Source organism: Homo sapiens, chromosome 2 (genome assembly GCF_000001405.40).
Source record: "Homo sapiens chromosome 2, GRCh38.p14 Primary Assembly".
In the NCBI taxonomy this organism is placed as follows: Eukaryota; Metazoa; Chordata; class Mammalia; order Primates; family Hominidae; genus Homo; species Homo sapiens.
In genome coordinates, this window is record NC_000002.12 from 37,816,510 (window position 1) to 37,840,243 (window position 23,734).

General features: G+C 43.0%; 1 long non-coding RNA gene and 1 pseudogene across 2 annotated transcripts in view, besides 1 other annotated feature; one reads left to right on the top strand and one right to left on the bottom strand.

Annotated features, from left to right (window-relative positions):
• Positions 216–1,649, top strand: LOC344382 (serine/threonine kinase receptor associated protein pseudogene; annotated as a pseudogene).
• Positions 1,650–9,737: 8,088 nt separating this feature from the next.
• The window catches only part of PIRAT1 (PU.1 (SPI1) induced regulator of S100A8 and S100A9 alarmin transcription 1), a 49,617-nt gene continuing 35,620 nt past the window's right edge, over positions 9,738–23,734 (bottom strand). The window contains exons 1-3 of one of the 2 annotated variants that reach the window (NR_110011.1): positions 12,739–13,202; positions 12,424–12,529; positions 9,738–11,369 (exon numbers count right to left, since the gene is read on the bottom strand). This is a non-coding gene — a long non-coding RNA (PU.1 (SPI1) induced regulator of S100A8 and S100A9 alarmin transcription 1). Of the gene's footprint in view, positions 11,370–12,423; positions 12,530–12,738; positions 13,203–23,734 lie in introns of those variants that run through there. The other variant, NR_110012.1, reaches the window with a different exon arrangement.
• Positions 16,978–17,037: an enhancer, noted in NCBI's record as "active region_15600". NCBI's record gives its function as "activates an Ori minimal core promoter by ATAC-STARR-seq in GM12878 lymphoblastoid cells {active_cell/tissue: GM12878}" and the evidence as "EXISTENCE:reporter gene assay evidence [ECO:0000049][PMID:35858748]".

Below are 23,734 nucleotides of genomic sequence, written 5' to 3' on the forward strand. Positions count from 1 at the left end.
GACTTAATTCAAATATCAGACTCTAAGCAATGGGTCTCCCTGCCATGAGGGCCCCCCTTCTCCCTGTGATCAGACTTCTGAGCGCATTTTTGTTCTTTACGGATAGCGTCCTGTTTCTCCCAAATCCTTTTTTCTCTGGCATCCCTGTTCCCGCAGTACTTTAAAATATTCAGTTTCTCCCTTTCCCTCCCTGGTCGACTGTTACTTGCCCATGTCAGACTCCCTGACCCCTCCGTCACCCCTTCCTAACCTCAGTGCCACCAGATTGTCCTCCTTTTCCTGTTTTGCAGCCCAGCCCTAGTGTCAGGGCGGGGGCCTGGAGGAGCCCAAGGTGCTGCAGCAGAAGAGAGAAAAGAGAACGACAACACTCAGCTCGCCAGTCTGGTCGCTGGGTTCACTGCCACCATGGCAATGAGACAGACGCTGCTCACCTACTTTGGCCACACGTGGCCCATGGTTGATTTGGCCTTCAGTGGCATCACGACTTATGGGTATTTCTTAACCAGCGCTTACAAAGATGGTAAACCTATGCTACGCCAGGGAGATACAGGAGACTGGATTGGAACATTTTGGGGTCATAAAGGTGCTGTTTGGGGTGCAACACTGAATGCCACCAAAGCAGCAACAGCAGCTGCAGATTTCACAGCCAAAGTGTGGGATGCTGTCTTAGGAGATGAATTGATGACCTTGGCTCATAAATACATTGTCAAGACTGTGTATTTCATGCAGGATAGTAATTATTTGTTAACCAAGGGACAGGATAAACTGTTACGCATGTATGACTTGAACAAACCCAAAGCAAGACCTAAGGAAATTAGTGGTCACACTTCTGGTATAAAAAAAAGGCTCCTATGGTGCAGTGAGGATAAACAGATTCTTTCTGCTGATGACAAAACTGCTCGACTTTGGGATCATGCTACTATGACAGAAGTGAAATCTCTAAATTTTAATATGTCTGTTAGTAGTACAAAATACATTCCTGAGGGAGAGATTTTGGTTATAACTTATGGACTATCTATTGCTTTTCATAGTGCAGTAAGTTTGGACCCAATTACATCCTTTGAAGCTCCTGCAACCATCAATTCTGCATCTCTTCATCCTGAGAAAGAATTTCTTGTTGCAGGTGGTGAAGATTTTAAACTTTATAAGTATTTTAACCATGGAGAAGAATTCGAATCCTACAAGGGATACTTTGGTCCTATTCACTGTGTGAGATTTAGTCGTGATGGAGAACTCTATGCCAGTGGTTCTGAAGATGGAACATTGAGACTAGGGCAAACTGTGGTAGGAAAAACATACGGCCTTTGGAAATGTGTGCTTCCTGAAGAAGAGAGTGGTGAGCTGGCAAAGCCAAAGATTGGCTTTCCAGAGACAACAGAAGAGGAGCTAGAAGAAATTGTTTCAGAGGATTCAGATTGCATCTATTCTTCAACTCCTGATGTTAAGGCCTGAGGGTCAATCATATGCTGCAGTTAGTATCCAACTGATGGACTAAAACGAGCAAGCAGAGAAAAGCATCAGCCTTCCAGAGTTACTCTCTGCTTAAGGCAGAAAGAGCAGTAAATAATGGGGAAAATGAATTAGCTCCAGTGCTGGAACAACTAACTTGGTGTTACCTGTAAGTGAAAACTCAAGAGTATCAGATGAAGAGAGGTAGAGTTATCCTCTTGTAGTACAGTGGCCTGTTATCTTTTTAATGAATATATACAAGCCAACATCCAATTTCTCTTATTACAGTTAGGGTTCTTGTAGCTGTTTATGTTATTATGGAGAAGAAAAATATATTGGCTTATTTTTCTGACTTTTTTCCTTAAAGCAGAATGCCTTTGTTTGTTTGCTTTAGTTGTAAAAAAGAGGGAATACATGATAAAGTAACTGGTTTGATTTCTCTTTCATTGTACACTGCTTCTGAACATTTAATTGTTTTTAGTTGTCTAAATGAAATGCCTCTAAAACAAAAAAAAATCTCCATTTACTGGGGAAAAGAAATCTATTGAGTGATCACTCACAAATCCCATGTTACTTTTTTTCAAAGACATTTGCTTTTTAAGAAGGTCACCAAGAGAACAGCACCTTATCCCAAAGAGTCATACCTCTCTGGCAGCAGAATTTCTGCCACAGGGAGAAAATGGTGAAAATATATACATTTTAAAAACAGTGACAGTATTTTAATATCCCTTTCTACGGATGTAATCTCACTTAATTTCATAACAATCACCTGAAGTAGCTAATGATATCACATAGATAAGGATATAAAACTCAGAAAATTCTGGTGTTTTACACAATATCACACAGCCAAAAATAACAAAGTGAGACACGGACCAGATTCTCTGACTCCCAAGCAGGGGTCTTTCCACTGTACCACACACGCTTCCCTTGGCCACCCCTTCGTTCACGTCTTTGGGCCATCAGCTGGCTTGAATTAGGGTGGACGTGGACTCCAATGGAATAGCAATTTTTTATGGGACTTTCCTTACTTCAAACAGGTACCTTGGGAATTACTTTTAGTTTTCCTAGGTGATCTGCCAAAAGTATTTCTCCTTCTATTTCCCTCTGAACCTGGCTAACTTAAGCTCCCATATAAAATTTTGAGGTGTCAGAGAGGAAGGGCATGGAGGCTTATGGAAACAGGACGATGCCCCCAGAGTCCTTGGGGATTGTTTATGGATTGGCCTGTCCTCTCACCTTCCAGCAACAGAAGAATCAGCCTCTGTTGTTAAGAACCTCTCCATCACCCCTCTGGTGGCCTTGGCCCAGCCCTGGCCATAAAGAGGGATTTCATATCATTAGCGACTTCCCCTTCACAGCTCATTAGCATGAAATGTCTTGGCAGCTGAAATGACAAAAGGGACTCCCTCCTCACCAGTGATTTCATGGGGAGAGACAGAAAATATTGCATCCTAAAAGCAGCCATCAAGCAGCTGTATCTGCTGCGGCCATTGGGCAGCTGTATCTGCTGCTTTTGTTTGTGGCTGTGACTCAATAGCAAGTTGAGTTGCTGGAAAATGCTTGTAGTACTCATCATCTGGCAACCAGATGGCAAGTTGGATTTAACTCTACATGGTAGATCTAGTGGATAAACTAGTTGAGTCTGGAAACCTAACTTTGTTCACATTACCTGAAGGCTCTGCTACCAAGGCTAAGCTGGACATGTGGGGTAAGCTGAGGCACTCCAGATGGTCCCAAGGAAGTGTGATGTGTGTGCACATGTATAGACACACATATAAATATATACACACACATACACACACACACATATACTCACACATATATACATGTACACGCACAGTCATCCCTGGCATACGAGGGGTATTTGTTCCAGACACCAGTGTATACCAAAATCCCCACATGCTCAAGTCCCACAGTAGGCCCTACAGAACTGTGTATATGAAAAGTCGGCCCTCCCTATATGCAGGTTTTGCATCCCTCAATCTGCATTTGCTTGAAAAAATCCACCTATAAGTGGACCTGCCCAGCTCAAACCTGTGCATGTAGTTCAACATTTAACTGTATACTTATATACATATAAAAATATATAAATGCATTTACTTTTTGCCCAATATTTGTTGTCTCCCTCTCAAAGAAAATGGAAGGTATAGTCGTGTTAGCCCCCTGAGCAAGTTGCAGTTGAGGTCAGACCATGAAGTTCAAATGTCTTTTCTAGAATAACTGAATATGGCTTCACAAGTTAGAGCCAGAAAAAAAGAAGTCGAGAACAATAGTCCCCAAGGCTATTTGAAATGTGCACTTCTTTGAAGAACAAAAAGAATCAGTGACACTGTTAACCAAGTCTCGCTATTGATACTGAAGATGACACTCACAGCTCATGCTGTATGTTTGAAAATGCCAGCATTGGCCCACACTAAACTTGCAGATTTTCCTTCTGCCTTGGCCCTCTTGGTTTAACTATCACAAATATGCAGAGTTCACTCCAGCCTCACCTCTGCTTACTTACCAAGTAGAAATTGAAGGATAGAGGTGAAGGTGGTTTGATATGGAATTTATTTCTGCCATTTGCCCAGGACAGTGCATCAAATACTCCCTAGGATGGATCACAACGAGCCATGGTTCTGGTATTTCACAACCTTGTGTAATTTTCTCTCCTTGGTTATGTGCTGAAGTTGACTTGCTTCTAACAAATATGAAAAAATGATGAGATGTTACTTCAAGATTAGATCACAGAAAGATTGTGACTTCTGTCTTCAGTGCACATTTGGGTGCATATGGTTGCACATTTTCTTGCTCAATCTCTCTTGTTCTGTCTCTTACTCTCACTTTCTCACTCCTGCTTTCTTTGTTCTCTCTTTCTATGGGAAGTCAGCTACCATGTTGTCATTCAGCCCAGCGTAGAAGGACCTGCCAATAATTGTGTAAGTGAAATTGAAAACAGATTCCCTCCCCTTTTTCTCTCTCTCTCTGGCCTTCAGATGAGACCACAGCCCTGGCCAATAGTTTGCCTGCAACCTCAACAAAGACCTTGACCCAGGAGCACCCAATTAAACTGTGCCTAGCATTTTGATCCATAGAAATCATGAGATAATAAATGCTTGTTGCCTGATGCCACCAAGTTTGAGAATCCTTTGTTAAGCAACAGTAAATATCTAGTGCAGGCATCAGTGGAAGATAAAGTGATTTCCCCAGTAACCATTGAAAGAATGAGTCAAGTAGTTACAGGACTCAGTGGCCAGTATACTCACGTTATAAATAAATCCAGGTTTTGAAGAGGTGTTTTTCTAACCTGAAGTAGTGGAATCACTACATGTAACTCCGTGCATGTGGGGACCTCATCAGACGCATCACTACCACTGGTTGGAATGGTTTAAAGATGGTCCTACCCAGGGTACTATTTAAAATACAGAGGACAGGGCTCCACCCTGACTTGCTAAAATAGAATCCTTGGGGTAGGACCTGGATCTGTATTTTGAGAAAATCACGCTAGTAGTGTTGCTGTTTAGTTCAATTTGGAAACTACTAGAAAAATATAACCTCTCCAAGTCATCTTCTATATTGAATTTTATGATTCTTTCTGTGTTAAAGGGGGTTACAAATATAGTGCAGGTAACACATTTTGGAAACTGAGTCCTAGCCATGGGCTTAGCATACTTGGGTGTTGTAAACGTGGGTGTGGTTTCAGCAACTTGCAGAACTAGGGAAATTGAGCAATACCCCAAAATTTACTTGAATTCCTGAATCTAATCAAAGTAGTAATGGATTTTAGCATAATTCCATGAATAGTTTGTTTTCTAATAAAACAAACAACAATGTATTACTCAAACTGAGTATTTTCTGAGACATCATGATATGGGGAAGGAGACATTGGGATTAGTGTCAGAAGAACTGTGTTTAGGTGCTGGCTCCTCTGCTTGGCAGATATTTGACCTCGAACAAGTTAACTAAGTTCTACTTCTTCCAGTCTAGTTTGAATGGATTTGCACATATGTTTTGATATAACCATGATCATACTATTATGTAAGTTTTTAATCCTGCCTTTTTCATTTAACAGTACATTTTGAATGTTTTCTCATGTCATTAAAAGTTTTCAAAAATATAATTTTAGGGGCTCCATAATATTCCATTATGTAGGTGTATCATAAGTGGTTAAATATTTGTTATATCCAAGTTCTTATCATTATAAAAAACATTGCGAGAAAGATCTTTGCATGCAAAATTTGTCTACATTTCTTATTACTTCCTTAGAAGGAAATCTCAGAAATAAAATTACTGCATCTAAATGTATGAATAATTTTCCTGAGACACATTGCAAATTGCTCTTCAGAGAGGCTTAACCAACATGTACTTTTATCAGCAGAAAGAGAATTTTCATTTCAATGTCAGCATAACCTTGCCAGCATAAAGCATTATTTTTTAAACGTTGTTAATTTTATGGTTTATATATCCTTGCTAGTTTGATGGTCAAAATATGTCTTCTTGTTTTAATGTGTACTTTTTATCATGCTACTCAGATCAAGTACTTTTCCTACATTTAGTAATGAGACTCCTCGTTGGTAAAATGAGAATAACAATCCCTACTCATAGGGATATTGGAAAAATTTATGAAATGGTGATTTTGAATACTTCTTATGAATGCAATTATATGTTATCTTCAAAGATATAACTCTTATGATCTCAATTTAGTTGATAGCTATTTATATAAAGACAAATCACTCTCTCATGGGACTGTGGAGTTGAGGGCAAATCCCCTCCAGCTCCTTCATCCCATGCATTTCCATGTCATGTAATTAGAGTTCAGTAGCATTAAGAGTTGTAACGAAGGGAACTCAAATAAGTGACAAATGGACCCAGGAGCCTGCATGGCTATCTCCACATTGTTACTCTCAGTAATGGTAGGTGTTGGGGGTGGGATGACTTGGTCAATATTATGTTATTTTGGGGCTCCAGTTACTTAACAGCAACTTTCCATAGCCACTTCCTTCCTCTTTACCAGCCAGGTCCCTGAGTCATTGCTCAACCGTAGGTCCCAGCAGCAGTTAGCTCTTTTGAAGCAAGAACCAAGATATTGCCCCTTTCTGCATACCCTAGGAACTTGTCTGCCTCATGTAGAAACTGCTTGATTTCAATCGAATGAGAGCATGCACCAAGAGAAAGCTAGAATTCCCAGAATTTCTCTTTCTTTTTTTTCTTTCTTTCTCTTTCTTTTTCTTCTTTCTTTTTCTTTTTTTCTTCTTTCTTTTCTTTCTTTTTTTCTTCTTTCTTTTGTTTCTTTCTTTCTTTTTCTTCTTTCCTTTCTTTCTTTCTTTCTTTCTTTCTTTCTTTCTTTCTTTCTTTTTTTTCTTCTTTCTTTTCTTTCTTTTTTTTTTTTTTTTGAGACAGGGTCTTGCTCTGTCACCCAGGCTGGAGTGCAGTGGTATGATCTTGGCTCACTGCAACCTCTACCTCCCAGGCTCAAGCTATTCTTGTGCCTCAGCCTCCCGAGTAGCTGGAACTAGAGGCACATGCCACCATGCCCGGCTAATTTTTGTATTTTGGGGGAAAGACAGGGTTTCTCCATGTTACCCAGGCTGGTCTCAAACTCCTGGGCTCAAGAGATCTGCCTGCCTCGGCCTCCCAAAATGCTGAGATTACAGCCATAAGCCTCCATGGCTGGCCCAAAATTTCCATATTAACTGAATGACTTACATATCATTGCTCAATTAACTTGATTCTCTCACTTATTTGAAAAGAAAAATTAAGAAATAAAAACAAAATTATGATAAAGGCCTGAAAACACAGGGAGAATTTTTCAACAAATTCAATGTAAAGCATTCAAGATGTTAAATAATATGTGGTTTTCAAAGGAAAAATATGGTGGATTTAAATATAATCAATGTTCAGTCTGACTGTAACTTTGCTATTACAGACCTGGAATTAAGCCTTCCTTTTTTCCAGGAACTCTGTCCTCTGTGCCTGGAGGCTGTGACGAAGTGGAAGTTGCAAGGGGAGACTGTGTTCTTCTTATTTATAATTAAAAAATAAAAACGGGGATTTGGGAACCACTTGTACTAGTGCCTATAAACCCACAGTAAGGAATTTTGCCCTAGTAGCTTTACACAGACTATCCTTTTTTCTCCAAATTTATGGAGCAACTTTAAAGGCATTTTGTGTACATAATTATGCAGTCTGTGTTTTAATTCATTGGGAGTTCTGGCTGAGTATGGACTGCAAAGTTAGACATTTTGGGTTCAATTTTCTTTGGTATATCTGTCCCAGATATTACTTTATTTTATTTACACAACCTCATGATGTCTCTATAAACTTGCTTTTTTATCATCATCATTCTGAAATCTCATGCAATAAATAGTGGTTGCAGAGGGGGAAAAGAAAATAGCTTCTTAGCCTTTTTCAATAAGAGAGATGTCATTTTGTCCAGAAGGGCAGCTCATCCATTACTGCCTCCTTTCTGATGACCAGAATTATACAATGAGGCAACTGCAGCCCCCTAGAAGTGACAGTGTCTACAATGCCCAGGAAGCATTTGCCAGGGAAGCCTGCATCCATCATCCCACCTACAACTTGGGTTTATAAAATTGGAGAAGCTCTGGTCAGGTGGCCCTGGGTTTACCACAGTACAATGTTCCCCCAGCTCATGGCTGGTTTGGAATGACCATGACCACTGAAAACTGAGGGTACCCCGGATGAATCACAATGGAGAAAAAGGCACCAAGGGATTCACCAGTTTGGAAATGGCCATTTCTAATCTTCATGTTCCATATATGGCAACACCAAATCCTTTGGAATGGGATGAACACAGAAAAGGCCTGTATGTTCCACCTAAGCATTCTCCTTGCTGCAAGCTCTCTGGCCAGTTGTAGGGCATGCAGCATTGCTCTCTCCCACTTTATTATTTTAAATGCTATTCATATTAAGGAATGAGAGTAACTAATGTTTATGGGAGCTTGTTAAATGCTGGACACTGAGGCATGTTGAGGATTAAATGAGATGATGTCCAGTGCCTCATTGAGGTAAGTGTTGTCACAGTCTCACTTGTGAGGCTAGTAGACTGGATCTCAGAGGTCAGATAACTTTCCCAGGCACTGGCCTAGGAATGGGCTCAGCTGGAATTCAGACAGAGGCAGGCAGACCCCAAGGTCCCTGCTCCTCCCCACTGTGACTCCTGCAAGTGGTACAGACCCATGTTCTGGGCACAGGCATTAAATGGTCACAGGACTATGCTCAGTCTGTCTCACTTTTTATCAGAGAGTGAAGGAAAAGGTATCCAATCTATAGGGAGATGCCCTGCAGATAGCAAGGCCAGCACTTCATGTCCAGTCTTTCAGAGCTTTGTCAGACAGTCGATTTTCCCTTTCTAATGCTGTGACTGGGATGAGAAGGCAAAACAAAAAGAATTAAAAATATAGTATTTCTTTCCCTACTTGGCCCAAAGGAAAGGTTCCGTGGGAAGTTGAAAAACAGATGGTCCAGGGCAAAAATCAACAAGTTTGACATCCAGGATTAAAAACCAGATGGCACTAAACAATCTTTAGAAGCCTCTAGAGGGGCTTCAAAGAAATTGCCCAAAACTCCATGTATGTTTCCATGAAGGCAAGTAGACTTAGTCATACATGATCTTATGATCTGTGGCCAGGTTCTCCTCCACCCAAAATTGTTCCCTGGGATGGGATCAAGCTAAGCACTTTGGGAAAGGAATGGGACCTTTTAGGCCACCAAGAACAGAGAATCCTAACATCTTATGGCTTTAATCAATGCAGTTGTTTCACTGAGTTGACTGATCAGATTAGGCAGCCGCCTCTAATCTTCTCAGGCAGGTCAAGGCTCATAGAGAGCCCAGCATTTGAGGAAACATAAATGTGGTTTTTAGTACGTATGCTGTTAAAGTCCCAGCACATAAACCTCCAGAAGTCACACTTCTCCGAAACCAGTCAGATGTAGAGGCATCTGAATAATGGCTCTTGTAGGGAACCCTGTTCCTGCTTCCTGTTCTTCAGCTGCTTGGAAAACATTGCTGGAACACTGGGATCCACTGAGGGAGATTCTTCCAGAAGTGTCCTGTGTCCCAGACTGTGACTTTTCTAACCAGCATGGACACAGTTGAAATCTAAGCTCCACTGCATCTGCTGCTGCCATGATAGAAACACTGGCATAGCATGTGCTAGGTACCAGGCCCTGGTCTAAACCAGTCACCTATGCTAAAGCACTTTATCATCACAGTGACCCTGGGGGGAGGGTGGTCCTTTGAGGGGACTGATTCATGGAGGTTAAGTAAGTTGGCCAAGGTCACTCAGGTGGTAAAGAGTGTATTAGTTTCCTGTGGCTGCCATAACAGAGTACCACAAACTAGGTGGCTTAAAACAACAGAAGTTTCTCTCTCATAGTTCCATAGCCCAGATATCCAACACTAAGGCATCAGCAGGGCTGCACTCCCTCCAAAAGCCCCAGGGAAAGGTCCTTCCTTGCCTCTTCCAGCTTTTGCTGGCACCAGGCATTTTTGGCCTGCAGCAGCCTCACTCCAGTCTCTGCCTCCATCTTTACTTAGTCTCTTCCGGGTCTGCAACTTCTTCTGTCTCCTATAAGGAGACACTTGTCATTGGATATAGGACCCACCCTGATAATCCAGGATGTTCTCATCTCTGAGAGCCTCAATGTAATTACATCTGCAAAGACCCTTTTGCCTAATAAGGTCACATTCACAGGTTCCAGGGATTAGGAGATACATGTATCTTTTGGGGACCACCATTCAGTTCACTACAGCTGAGCAGCTGGGATTTGACTCAAGCAGTCCAGCTCCAGCACGTGGCCTCCGACCATCACGCCATGCTCTCTCATGTGGTTACTTTTCACAGGTGTCAGCAAAATGCCTGCTCAATGATCTGAGATTTTTTTTCACAAATCATCACAGAGCTGAAATGCTCATTTTTCTGTGCTGCTACTCTGTCCATGTTCCAGAAAGGCAGCACATTAAGTCTACACCACATCACGCATCCCCTGACAGATGGAGAGAATATCAGCAAATCAGATTGCTTTCTAAAGAAAACAGAATCCAACTTTGCAAATGTTTAAAGCTTGCATATTTTCAAAATTTCAAGCAAAAGTAGAAAACCTCATTACCTCAGATCACGGTTGACAAAACTACCATTGACAAAGAATTATCCTACATGCAATGAAAACCCAATATAAGACAGTGAGTGATTGTCCAAAACGTGGGTGTTAGGTCACTACCCAGACAACAGCAGAGTTGACGGTTCTACCCTAGCTCTCTTTTGATGAGGGAAAACATTATTTTTAAATGAAGCCTGCCACTTCAGTGTAGAAAACATAAAGATGTGGACAGTCACCATTGTCATTTAAAGGGTGAGCTGTATTTCTTCTGAAGTAAAGTGATGAGTCCAGGCAGTACACTCACTCTATCAGATATGATTTGAAAAGCTGAAAAATAAACCTCTGACAATAAGATTTTAGGACAGAAATGCTGCCAGGGCTCGAAGTACATTTCAGAAGAATAAAAAGAAAGTAAACGATGCCAAAGGCCAGACAAACAAAAGGAAAATTCCTACTTCGTTTGTTCTCATGAAATGCCACAGAAAAATAATCTGTTAGGCAGCTCTTCTGGAGTCCAAGTTCTTGCGCTGTGCTCATCTCTTCTTTCTGTTAAAGCTCGGTGCTTTGCAAGCTGTCGTTAAATTGCTTACACGGATGGACGGGGCCAAGATGGTTTTCAGTCTAAAGCCAGTGAGAGTCTCAAGGCAGATTCTGAAGGCCTTGAACCACCTGAGCCTGGCCAGATGGATTCTTCCTTTCACTGTTGTGACCATTGCTTTGGTGTCAGAACCCTATGGGAGAGCTGAGTCCATGACCAGAATCCTCATGCCTTTCACAACTCCAATTAGCCAAGAGCATGGCACGGAGCAGAGGTGCTGGTGGGAGAAAACAACACATAGGTGAAAAACCTCGGGATTAGGCATTTCAAACAAGAGGCATTCATTTTGCCCGACACCCAGAGTTGCCCCATAAACAAGCCAGAAACTCAACCAGGCGGTGACGGAACAAGGAATGGATGAGTGACAAACTGGGCTGTTGATTCTGTTGTAACTGAGGCTTGACTGTATTAACAAGCATGCAGTGATTAAACAGACCAGCACCAGAATTTTAGCAGCTACCTTGAAGCCTGCTGACTGACACTGTCCCTGGAGCCCCTGTTATAATGAGGTCCTTGTGATAACTTACTCCCTTGGATAGAGTCCAAGACAGGCACGTGCCCTGTGGAATTCCACACTGTAACCAACCATACTTCAGAGAGATTCCAGAATAATGATGGTATTGCTTATTTAGGCTGAAGGTTATCTGCTCCTCCTCCTCCAGATCCCTGCCAGCCAAGGGAAGAGCATCTCATTGGTGTCAGATGACAAGGGTCTTGTTCCCTTTACTGGAATAAGCTTCTTATGTCATACAGACTCTGGAAGTCCTGAAAAGCCATCTGTCTTGGCCTTTACTTTAGGAAAGAAAGTATCATAACCTGCCACAGCAGTGGGGACAGCTGAAGCCGGGGGTTACTATTCGCCCTTGTTACTATTCATGGAGGCTCTTAGGGAAATGACCAAAAAGCTCTTTATGGCTCTTGCAATTAATCCTGAAATTCTGGTTGTCACTTGTGGGTAGAAACATATGGTTTACAAATGGGTTGATGATTATTATTTCAAGGAAAAACTAAAACATTATAATGAGAGTTATAACATAATGGTGGGACAGTATAAATAGGGAGAGAATTTGTAGTGTTTTCTTGTTCGTTTTGTTACATGAATAGACAGCTAGGGGAAAATGGCATTCTATGGGGAACTGATGGGATTTATTTAATATTTATTTAAATAAATTTATTTATTTATTTATTTAGACACCTCTTTTTTCCCGTCTAAGTTATAAACTAATTAAGAGATGGACAAAGAATAAGGTAAAGGAAGGTCAAAATATTACCTTGGGCAGGGTGCAGTGTCTCACACCTGTAATCCCAGCACTTTGGGAGGCCAAGGCAGGAGGATCACTTGAGTTCAGGAGTTTAAAATAGCAACATAAGAAGAATCTGTCTCTCCAAAAAAGAAAAAGAAAAGAAAAAAAGGAGGTGAGGTGGCACATACCTCTAGTCCCAGCTACATGGGAGGCTAGGGTGGGAGGATCACCTAAGCCCAGGAGGTCAAGGCTGCAGTGAGCTGTGATCACACCACTACACTGCAGCCTGGGTGACAGAGTAAGACTGTTCCTCAAAAAAATAAAAATAAAAATAAAAATTACCTCAGTTCGTGAAAACAGCAAAGATGTGTGGCATGACTAGCTCCATTCCCTGGAATTAGGAAATATCACCACACTTATGATGAATCTTACAAAACTTAAGCCTTCCCACTCAGGGAGGGCCACATAGACATGAGAAAGTAGAGCAGAATGTGGTTGTTTTCCAGGGGAAGCTGGCTTCTAATGAGAAGGGAGGGAGGGAGGGCCTGGGCTTCCTGTGCAGATTCATTTCCCTTGGTTACCAGCAGGTCACTCACCCCACCTCCGTGGGCATTAGCCATGAGGCAAGAAGTAAGAGGAGTTTAGAAAAAAATCCTTGTTTCTGGAAACCAGAGAGGAGGGAGACACGGTTCACTCAATGAGTAGGAACTTCAATGGTTAAATGTGTCTTCTTGTAACAAACATCCATGTAACTATTTGAGGCCAGAATGAATTCTTCCTGGTGTTTCTTTAGGTGATTTCTCCAAGGGAGGCCTGTGGTATGCAGGGGATTTTTACCAAGACCAGCGTTCTCATGAGTCCAGAGGCTCATCTGCCCTTAGAGGATTGGAAGATTTGCATCCGCTTCCACAAGCTGCTAGCCTAATCCTCTAAGGTTCAAATCTGCCAGGGATCCATACCATGAAGGCAGTCCTCCTGAGTTTGCTTTGGAGTCTGACACTTTTCATTATGGACATCAGTGATTGACACCCTGATTGTACTTAGAATCACCCAGAGGGAGCTTTTAAAAAGTATTGGTACCCAGGCCCCTCCTCAAACTGAGAAAACTGAGGACTCTGTGGGTGAGCCTGGACATGGATGGCTTTACCAAGCTCTCCAGATGAGTCTAACGTGCACCCTGGCTTGAGAAGCATGGAGTGGCAGTCACAGAAGCCCAGGTTGGCAGCTGTCTCAGGCAGGAAATGTAGAATGGCAGTTAAAACTGTTAGCCCTGGAGAAGAATCCTGATCCCATTCCTTACTGAGTGTTTGTTAAGTTACTTAAACATTCTTAGTCTCCCCAGGGTGACCAAGGCCATCCGTAAAAGGAAATCCACTCCAGTAAGTGAGTTGAAGCCTTGGTCTTCATCATTTATGATGGTCAACGGAGAAGTTTCCTTTTGTTTGATGCCACCCTTCGTGTCTGTTGCAAATGGCAATGAGCCAGAACTCTGCCATGCAGATGCTCGGGTTATGCCCATGCCAGAGAGTCCAGTGTGGCTCAGGATCAATCAAAACAGAAAGTACCATCCTAAAGTCAGCGTCTGGATTTTCCCCGTCAAAACATTCAACTCCCATGGTATATATATTTTTGCTTATTCAATTCATATTTTGAATTCATATTATGAATTAGTCGAATTTTTAGATATGCTTAGTTGTTGGTCCATGTCACAGCTATCTAGCCTGTAAGGACCATTTCTTCTTGCTCTTATCTTGAGAAAATCACACACTGGTGCTTAGTTAATAAATAGTTCTTGATTATGGAAATAATTATGGCCTTGGAAGAATTCTGTTTATATAAGCAAGAACTCTTAGGTCTTAATCTTGCAACTGAAAGGGATCATAGAGACCCAGGTCTTCAAGTTGAAGGGAAACTTGCCGAGGGCCACACAGGCACTCAGAGGCAGGCCCAGATTTGACTGTTCTCTCTCCAAGTCCATTTTTCTTCCAACTTTATCATGTTGCCTCCCTATACAACCCTCTAAACTACTTCTCTCTCTTTTCTAAATCCATTTTTTTTCTGATTTCTCTTTCTGCCACAAATGTTCCGAATTTATGAAGAAAGAAAATGGAGAAAAGATTTGAGTAGACATTTCTGGTTTCCATGCTTGGATTGCTTCGGAGGATTAGTTTTACTGTTCCAGCTTGTTTCTTTATCAGTTTAAAGGGCAAAACAACTTCCACCCTTTTGAGGCAGCAAGAGGTCAGTCCTCTGCCATCCTCCCCCACGGCCAGGCAGAGCCAACTGCAGCCCATGGGTACCTTCCACCGCCTTCTTCCCTGGGATGGAGTCAGACAGACCTGCAGAGGGGCGACCACTCAGCTTGGGCAGCCAAGGCAATACCTGTCATCACTGTAGTGGGCTTGAAGCCCAGTGTCCTTCACTGCCAGCCTTGATGGCTTTAGCTGTGAAAACTCTCCTGACAAAGGAGGCTCTCACAGGCTCCAGTCATGGGAGCCCTACAGCCAGGATTTCAGGAAACTAGGGTGGAATGGGCAGAACAAGAGTTTGTCCAACAACTGAACAGGACAGGAGGTTCCTACTGCTTGGAAATCTATTTGTGTGTTCCAGAGATGTGCAGAACAAAGACCTACACATGGTTATTTTGGCAAGAACAGGAAGGTTTAGATTATCCTTTTCCACCCCGTGAAAGTGGCCACCTAAGATGTGAGTGTTGAAGGAACATCTGTTTTAACACTAACAGAGCCTCAGTGAGGGTCTCACCATGGTCTTCACTTCACAGACATAGCACAAGCAATAAGAAAGCTGCAGCTGTCGGATGCACACACAGTTAAAGGCTTTGCCTCTCCTTTTTATCTCAGTGTTTCCAACATGACAGTGAGCACCGCGTGTTCTCCAATGGGCTCTGCTCCTTTCTGCTCCCACCAGCAGCTCTGAAGTATCATGTAAGACCACATGTTGCCTCCTTAAGGTGATTTTTGGAGAGGGAATTTGGGAAATGACAAAATCAAAATATCCAGCATGAGCCTTTGCACATCGTTCATGCATTGGGTGCATGAGATGATAGAATTGGATCTGGAGGCATATGCTATGTGTAGAACAGCTTTCCCCATCTGGAGCCCAGGTGTGCAGGTTCACCCCTGAGTCCCAGACATCGGTATCAGTGAGTAGTGAGAGCAAGACAAATCCATCTCACCTACCCTTGTTCCACAGAAATGATTTTACCCCTTGAGGTACAAGGTCAAGCTCTAATTTTATTTGTAGATCAAGTTTCACAATAATTGAGCATTTGAACATGCTAAGAAAGATGGGATTTTGTAACTCATTGTTGAAAGGCAATGTGGCATAATGGTTAAGAGTTTGCATTCTGAAATTAGAGAAACTAATTCTGAAATTACAAATTTGTTCTCTTTGTGACCTTAGGAAAGTAATGCAATTTGTCCAAACTTCAGTTTCTTCATCTATAAAATAAAGATAATTATAATTCCTACCTAGAAGTATTGGTGTAGTTATGAAGAAGGAGACCACTTGTGAAAAACATAAAATACTACAAGGCCACTCGTGTCACAAAGATGCAATTCACTGGTTACTATCATTACTATCAATTTTAGAGGCACAGACTTCCTTCTAAATAAGACTCCTTTCCAAACACGTACATCTAGAGCCATTCATTCTATCTTCTCCCACTGTTAGAATGTCCTTATCTTAAGCCAAAATCTCACTACCCTTGTTTTCTGGCCTTTTAATTTGTACCTACTTTTTGAAACCGCATGGAAAAACTCAAATCCCTTTTTGTAAAGGCATTGACTGGGCCACTGTTTTGCACAGCTCAAAGGGACACAGTTCACACTGTAATCTGTGTCAATGGCACCCCCTGGTGTCCACCCCACTGGAGAGGTAAATAGGGAGGATAGAAGGGAAGAAGGGAAGGGTTGTAGAGAGGCTGGACATACTCTTTTCCATGAAAATCCCTGGTGAAGTAAGGATCGCACCAGTGTACTACCTTCCCCAAACAAAGCAGCTACAACTCTACCAACACTTCTTCATAGGACATGATCTCACATCAGAGCCCATTGTGCTTTGACCACGTTTTTCTTAAAGTGAGGTGCTCAGAGCTAAGTCAACATTCCAGGTGAGACATGACCAGGGCCCAGGAGAGCAGAATTCAACCTCCTTCATTTTTCTGTATACCATAATTAGGATGCCACTGTGATACAAGACAATCTTAGTACTGAATTCCTAGAGCAATTATTTTCTGAGCAACAGGCTTGGTTTTTAATCATACATTGTCCTATAATATCACTTCACTTGTCATGAATTGTTACCCATTTCACTTTATATAAGTGAACTATATATGTGTGTGTGTGTGTGTGTGTGTTTCTTCATACTGTCTATGTTGGGAGTTCCCTGAAATATATGTTTTTAGACATTTTAATGACTCCTGTTAAATCTAGCACGTTTCTGGGACCATAAAAATGAATCTAATTCGAATATTTAGGGAGAACCAAAGCAAAGGGACAGCATTTATTAAAATTTAAAATGGCCACTGTGGAAATGGAGTCAAGCTATTCTGTGCACACAGTGTTGCTGGGATAAAACACGCTAGAAGAAATGGCGGTAAGTTCTTATTTGGTCAATGAATCATAATTCCCCAAAAGACAAGCATGATGCTTATGGCAGCCCTTAGTAATAATTCTTCATGTGTGGTTTTCTTGCTCATATTTTCTATGTATGCGGTGATTTCCAACTACACTCTGTGGAGCCCGTGGGGTTCTGAACGGATGCTCCCAGGATGTGTGGGAGGGGCAGGAAGAGCAAGAGTGGAGGGCGGGGCTCCTGTCAGCTTTCAGTTTCCCCTAGAGCCGTCAGCCTTTCCCTGTTGTATGTATTGGCCCTCCCTGTAATATTTCCTTTGGGAATAAAAAGTTTAGAAACCATAAGTCAAGTCACACCCTGGTCACCTCAGACTGGCAGGGAGTATGATCACTTTCATGTTTCGTCTCACAAAATGGATTTCTAGGTGAAGTATATTTAAAAAGAAGGTCACCAGGCACAGTGGCTCACGCCTGTAATCCCAGCACTTTGGGAGGCCGAGGCAGGCGGATCATCTGAGGTCAGGAGTTTGAGACCAGCCTGGTCAACATGGCGAAACCCCATCTCTACTAAAAATACGAAAATTAGCTGGGCATGGTGGCGCGTGCCTGTAATCCCAGCTACTCGGGAGGCTGAGGCACCAGAATTGCTTGAACCCGGGAGGCGGAGATTGCAGTGAGCCAAGATCGTGCCAGTGCACTCCAGCCTGGGTGACAAAGCAAGACTCTGTCTCAAAAAAAAAAAAAAAAATTAGGTTAATTTCCACATTTGGCCCTAATGTGGTCAAAACTTCAACAGCTGTGGATTAAAGAGAAAGCGACCACACCATCATCACCATCACCCTCTCTATCCCTGTGAAGCCCCAGACACACACAGTGGAAATGGAATTCAGAGCTAGAGTAAACCCAGGGTCTTGACGGACACTTTCGAAACAGCACTGCAGGTTTGTGATTTCCTTCAGATTTGGAGAGAGTCTCTTGATAACTCCTACCCTCATCTTCTGTTTTGATGGCAGAAAAAAGGGCACTATCTGTCTTTGTTTTGTGTTGCTATAACAGAATACCACAGTCTGGGTAATTTATAAAGAAAATTTATTTCTCACAGTTTCAGAGGCTGGGAAGTCCAATATCAAGGTGCCAGCACCTGGCAAAGGCCTTCTTGTGGTGTCATAATCTGAGAGAAGGCATCTTATGGCGAGAGAGAGGGAGCGTGCCAGCCCAAGTCTGTCTTCCTCGTCTTATAAAGCCACTAATCCCATCATGGGCCCCCACTCACGTGACCTCATCTAACCCTAATCACCTCCCCCAAAGGCCCCACCACCAAGTACTAGCAACATAATTTGGAGATTATGTTGACTGTTTCCTTTCTCCACCTCTCAGCTTGATTCTCAGAGTTCCATGTGATTGGAGAGGCCAGGGTGGGGGGCACTCTGACATCCACCTTGACCAGTACATTGTAGCTGTGCTGGACAGACCTCCTTTAAGAATAACACTTTTCATAAGGATTATTGCTAAAACCAAACTTCTCATCTTTTTTTTTTTTTAAGAGACAGAGTCTCGCTCTGTCACCACGATCTCGGCTCACTGCAACCTCCGCTTCCCAGGTTCAAGCAATTCTCCTGACTCAGCCTCCCTAGTAACCAGGACTACAGGCGCACACCGCCATGCCCTTTTTTTGAGATGGGGTCTGTCACCCAGACTGGAGTGCAGTAGCGCAATTTTGGCTCACTGCAACCTCCACCTCCCAGGTTCAAGGGATTCTTCTGCCTCAGCCTCCTGAGTAGCTAGGATTATAGGCATGCACCACCACGCCCGGCTAATTTTTGTATTTTTAGTAGAGATGGGGTTTCACTGTGTTGCCCAGGCTGGTCTCGAACTCCTGAGCTCAGGCAATCTGCCCACCTCGGCCTCCCAAAGTGTTAGGATTACAGGTATGAGCCACCGCGCCCGGCCGCTTCTCTTCATTTTTATGTGCAATAAATATTTAGAAATATCTTCTCTTAACTCTGTGGAACCATTGTTTCTTTATCTGCAAAATGAAGTTAATAATATCTTTCATAGTGGGCACTTGTGGTAATTAAATGAAGAAGAATGACAAAATAATTCAGAGAAACCTAGAATAAAGTGGGAAAGAGATAGCAGTGAAAATCTATTGGCAGTTGGCTAAGATGGTGACCCAAACCCTAGAGCACTAGGAAGGAGAAGGATGGAGACCACCACAAGTGATGCAAATGTCACTGATCTAGAAAAAGGAATACTGTTAGGATGTTATCACTCCCCTCACACTGTGAAGTCCCAGAAAAAAAATCTTAACTATGTTCAACATAAGAATTTAACTAAAACATAATGGACTATTTCCATTTTTCTTTACTTTCAGTGCTGTAAATAAAATCAACTTGTGGCCAGTAAGTATGTACAAGCTTTCTTCCTACTCTGTGTTAGCAGTATTTAGTATACCAAAAGTGAGAAGCTTTTCATATTGGAGGATTCTATCCAATTTGATATTTTCAATTACATTTAAGAGTACTCACTTGCATCGTCTCCTATCTGTGGTGCAATTTTTTTTTTTTTTTTTTTTTGAGACGGAGTCTCGCTCTGTCACCCAGGCTGGACTGCAGTGGCGCTATCTCAGCTCACTGCAAGCTCCGCCTTCTGGGTTCACGCCATTCTCCTGCCTCAACCTCCTGAGTAGCTGGGACTACAGGCACCCGCCACACGCCCAGCTAATTTTTTGTATTTTTAGTAAAGACGGGGTTTCACCATGTTAGCCAGGATGGTCTACATCTCCTGACCCCATGATCTGCCCATCTCGGCCTCCCAAAGTGCTGGGAGTACAGGCATGAGCCACTGCGCCTGGCCTGTGGTGCTGTTAGTTACAGAGTTGAGTTAAAATACAATGACCTACAAGCTAGTTGGGCCTTTTTATTTCTCTGCAACTAATCCCTGCAACTAATTCTCATGAGTAACCATCCTACTGTGCCAGAGGATTGTGCGAGGAATGGGGAAGGGAAATCTTTTATTGCAAAGGTCTTTGGATTCAAAACAGTGTCTTGAAGTTTAAAATGATTTTTTAGGGTAACCTGAGTATCTTTGGGAAAATGTTTAATCATTTAGATTCTCCTCCCAACCAAGATGACATCTGGCTGAAGAGAGAAACTCATGTATCCTCACAGTGACAGGGAACAGAGTTTACCAGCTGGGTTTCTGACCCAATATGGTCCGCAAGGTCTGTACCCTGGACACCTGTCTAAAATACGTGGCCAAATTTCATGGCCAGTAAAACTCATGGTCTGCTCTTTGCTGGCTCCAGCTGCCGGTCACTTCAAATGGTCTGTCTGGGTGTTGGTGGCATCTAATTGCTGGCTCTATCATGCAGAATGTTCACTGGTCTTTGGACAACTAGCTAGACAGCCACCGCAGAGCTTCCTGGTACTACAGAAGCATGACCTTCTCCATCCCCAATACCTAGATAGGGTCTACTTCAGGCCGTTGTCGGGGGCTCTTTATCTCCATGGAGCAGCTGTCCCTGGGGATGGTAGAATCTTGTCTAGGCCCCAGGAAACCTAGGAATTGCCACATTAACCTCATTTTTGAAGAAAATATATGCCCTATCCCAGATCATTATGCTACTACCTTGCCTTTGCCAATTACTACCTAAGAGATGTCAATGCAGGAATTCTTCAGAGACTTAACATCTTTACTGTCTCTTCTCAGGGAAACCTCTCTGCTTTAGATTCCTTTAATGGTATTTTACTTCTTAGAATCCTTTCTGGAGTTTCAATTCTTCTTCCTGTCTACATAACTCCCTTTTCCTTCCTGAGGCAGCATTTACTTTTTTCCTGCTCTAAGGTCATAATGGTAGCAAGAAATCATCAGAGAAAAACACAGCAGGAAGTATTTTAAAATTATCCTTTTTACACATAATTTAACTAATTTAATCTCTGTGATAGCTTCGCAGGGTTCTTTTCGCAGAAGACACTGAGGTTCAAAGAGGTTATATCACTTCCTTATGTGATTTAACCAAGATCAACAGCAAATCTGGTGTTCCACTATGGCAAACCACCTCCCAAGGACCTGGCAGGGGACAGACACTGCTGAGCTGTTTTCCATTCACAAGGAACTGCTTTTCTGCCTGGGTAACCCCAGTACATAGATCTGATTTGCCTTTCATGCTCCATACCTTCTCCTTTCCCCCACAAATGCAATGCAGGAGAGGAGAGTTACATGGCCTTTCAAGGTGTTTGGCCAGGAAGTCACTTAATAAAGAATTAACACATCATCACTGCAAAGTGGTTTCTGCATGAAAACAAAGGAGATGCTCATTTGTCACCACTCCCTTCTGAGCCAGCTAGGGACTATCAGGAGGTGATGAGTTTGCAATAAACAGCAGAAGTTGAGCACCAAGGCTTTTTCAAACAACTCCAAATAGTTGGCTGAAACCCAGAACACATTATTCTTTGTCCATCAGGATTCTCTCCTACACAGTTTTCCAGAGAAGGATGAAATTCCTTAGGTCATGTTATAAACATTCATCTTCTAAATCACGCCCCTAATAGAAAGAACAGAAGACAGAGCATGTGCTGTAAGTCATTCGCCTGCTGAATGTGCTCTGCACAGGGTGATGTAACATGTGGGGTCAGCCCCTGCGTCAACGACCAAATACACAAGTGTAACGAGATGGGGGGAACAAGACAGACTCCACATGGCCAGCCTGGGGGAGGGTGGGTGTTCCCCTGAGAGGAGAGTCTTGGAAAAGGCTTGTTGGGGAGGAGCTGAGGAGACACAGATTCACTAGGCTTTGCAGTGGTCTAGGACAGAGACGGGAATAAGCACATGGGCGAGAGGTAGCGCTTGGGCACCAGGGAGGAGAGGATAGCTGGGGGAGGAGGGGGAGTCAAGTGATTTTTTGGCCAGTCTAGAAGATGGATACAGTTAGTCTAGAAGCAGTCCAAAGCTAAGGCCTCCAATTCTTTCTGGTTTCCCAAAATCTTCCTCTCTCATCATCTCCTTATTTTCCTTTGCACCCAAAGGAATAAAGTTGTTACCCTACTGGAAAAGCAGGCAGCAAAACTGGTTTCTGTCCCTATCTCTCATCAATCTTCTTCTCCAGTTGGTAAATGCTTTAGCTTTCTTAGTCCTGTCAACGAGCCAAGCAATCTATACATTGACTCTTAGACCTGCGTTTCCCAGCACCCTTGCAGGAACTGGCCCTAGATGACCCTGCCTGAATAACTGATAAACTGTAATTGGCCTCACTTTCGTTAGCCCCACAGCCCCCTTCCCTAAGTTCATAGCCTCTCTTATCTATGCTGCTTAATTCAAGCATCCCAACCCTGTGAGGCAGCCCTACTGCAGCACTGGGCAAGGAATCTGAAGGCCTAGGTTCAAGTATTGGTTCTGCTTCTAATTAGCTGGGTGGCCAAGAGTATTTATAATAATGATAAGGATGTCTACCATCAAATCAGCAATTAGTAGATAAGGTCCTCTGCTAAGCAATTAAGTAAGAGTTACCGTATTAGAAAATGATTATCACAATTTCTAAATTATCTAGTAACTGGAAGCATTGGTACCTCTTTAACTTTTTTCTCCCCACGGTTATTAAATTTGAAAACAAAACAACAGTAATAAACCCATAAAACTGAAAGGCTGGCTGCACGCAGTGGCTCACGCCTGTAATCCCAGCACTTTGGGAGGCCGAGACGGGCAGATCACGAGGTCAGGAGATCGAGGCCATACTGGCTAACATGGTGAAACCCCATCTCTACTAAAAATACAAAAAAAATTTAGCCGGGCGTGGTGGCAGGTGCCTGTAGTCCCAGCTACTTGGGAGGCTGAGGCAGGAGAATGGCGTGAACCCGGGAGGCGGAGCTTGCAGTGAGCTGAAATCGCGCCACTGCGCTCCAGCCTGGGGGAAGGAGGGAGACTCCGCCTCAAAAACAAACAAACAAACTAAAAACAAACAAACAAACAAAAACAAACTGAAAGGCTGATCCTGATTCCCAGGATGAAAGTGAGGAGAAGAAAGGTTTTGTGGCATCTCCTTCAGTGGAATCCAAGTTGGAAAATAGGTGGGAGTAATGGGAAAAGGGAGATGGTTAAATCCCTGGGACGTTCAGGGACAGGAAGGAAGAAAGCAGGATGCTGTCCTGGGCAACATTTGTCCATCCGTGCCTTGAGCAAGGCTGCTCACCTTGGCACTGCTAAATAATCAGTGTTCTGCACTCTCAAGTCTCAACCCTGGTACTCATCCCCTAGGTAACCACGAGAAGCTACCTCGCCTTGAAGAGTTTCATGTCCTGCTTGGTAAGATTGGCAATGGTCAGATACCAAACTCAGAGGATACAACCAGGGTTCAGGCTCCTTCTCCCTGACAGACAAGCTGTCTGTGACCTTGGGTGAATCACTGAATAGGGTCTGAGTTCACTGTCTCACCTGAAATAGAAATACTGACGCCTGCCCTACCTTCCAGAGCGTCACAAGGGTCCATGCGATGATGCTGGGGCCAGTCTTTGTGAACCTTGAAGACACGTTTATGAAGTGAAGGGGTTGATAGGTGATGGGCAGGTCTTTCCAGCTAAGATACGTTTGGATTTGACAGTGCAATACAGTGACCTTAGTTACAGGAGGATGGCCTTGCAGAGTATCCAGCAGCCCCAGGGCTTCTCATGGCTACTTCCCATTCCCTGTAGCTGTAGACGGAGGGAAGGCTGAGGGTTGCTCATTTGACAGGCATCATTATCTTATTT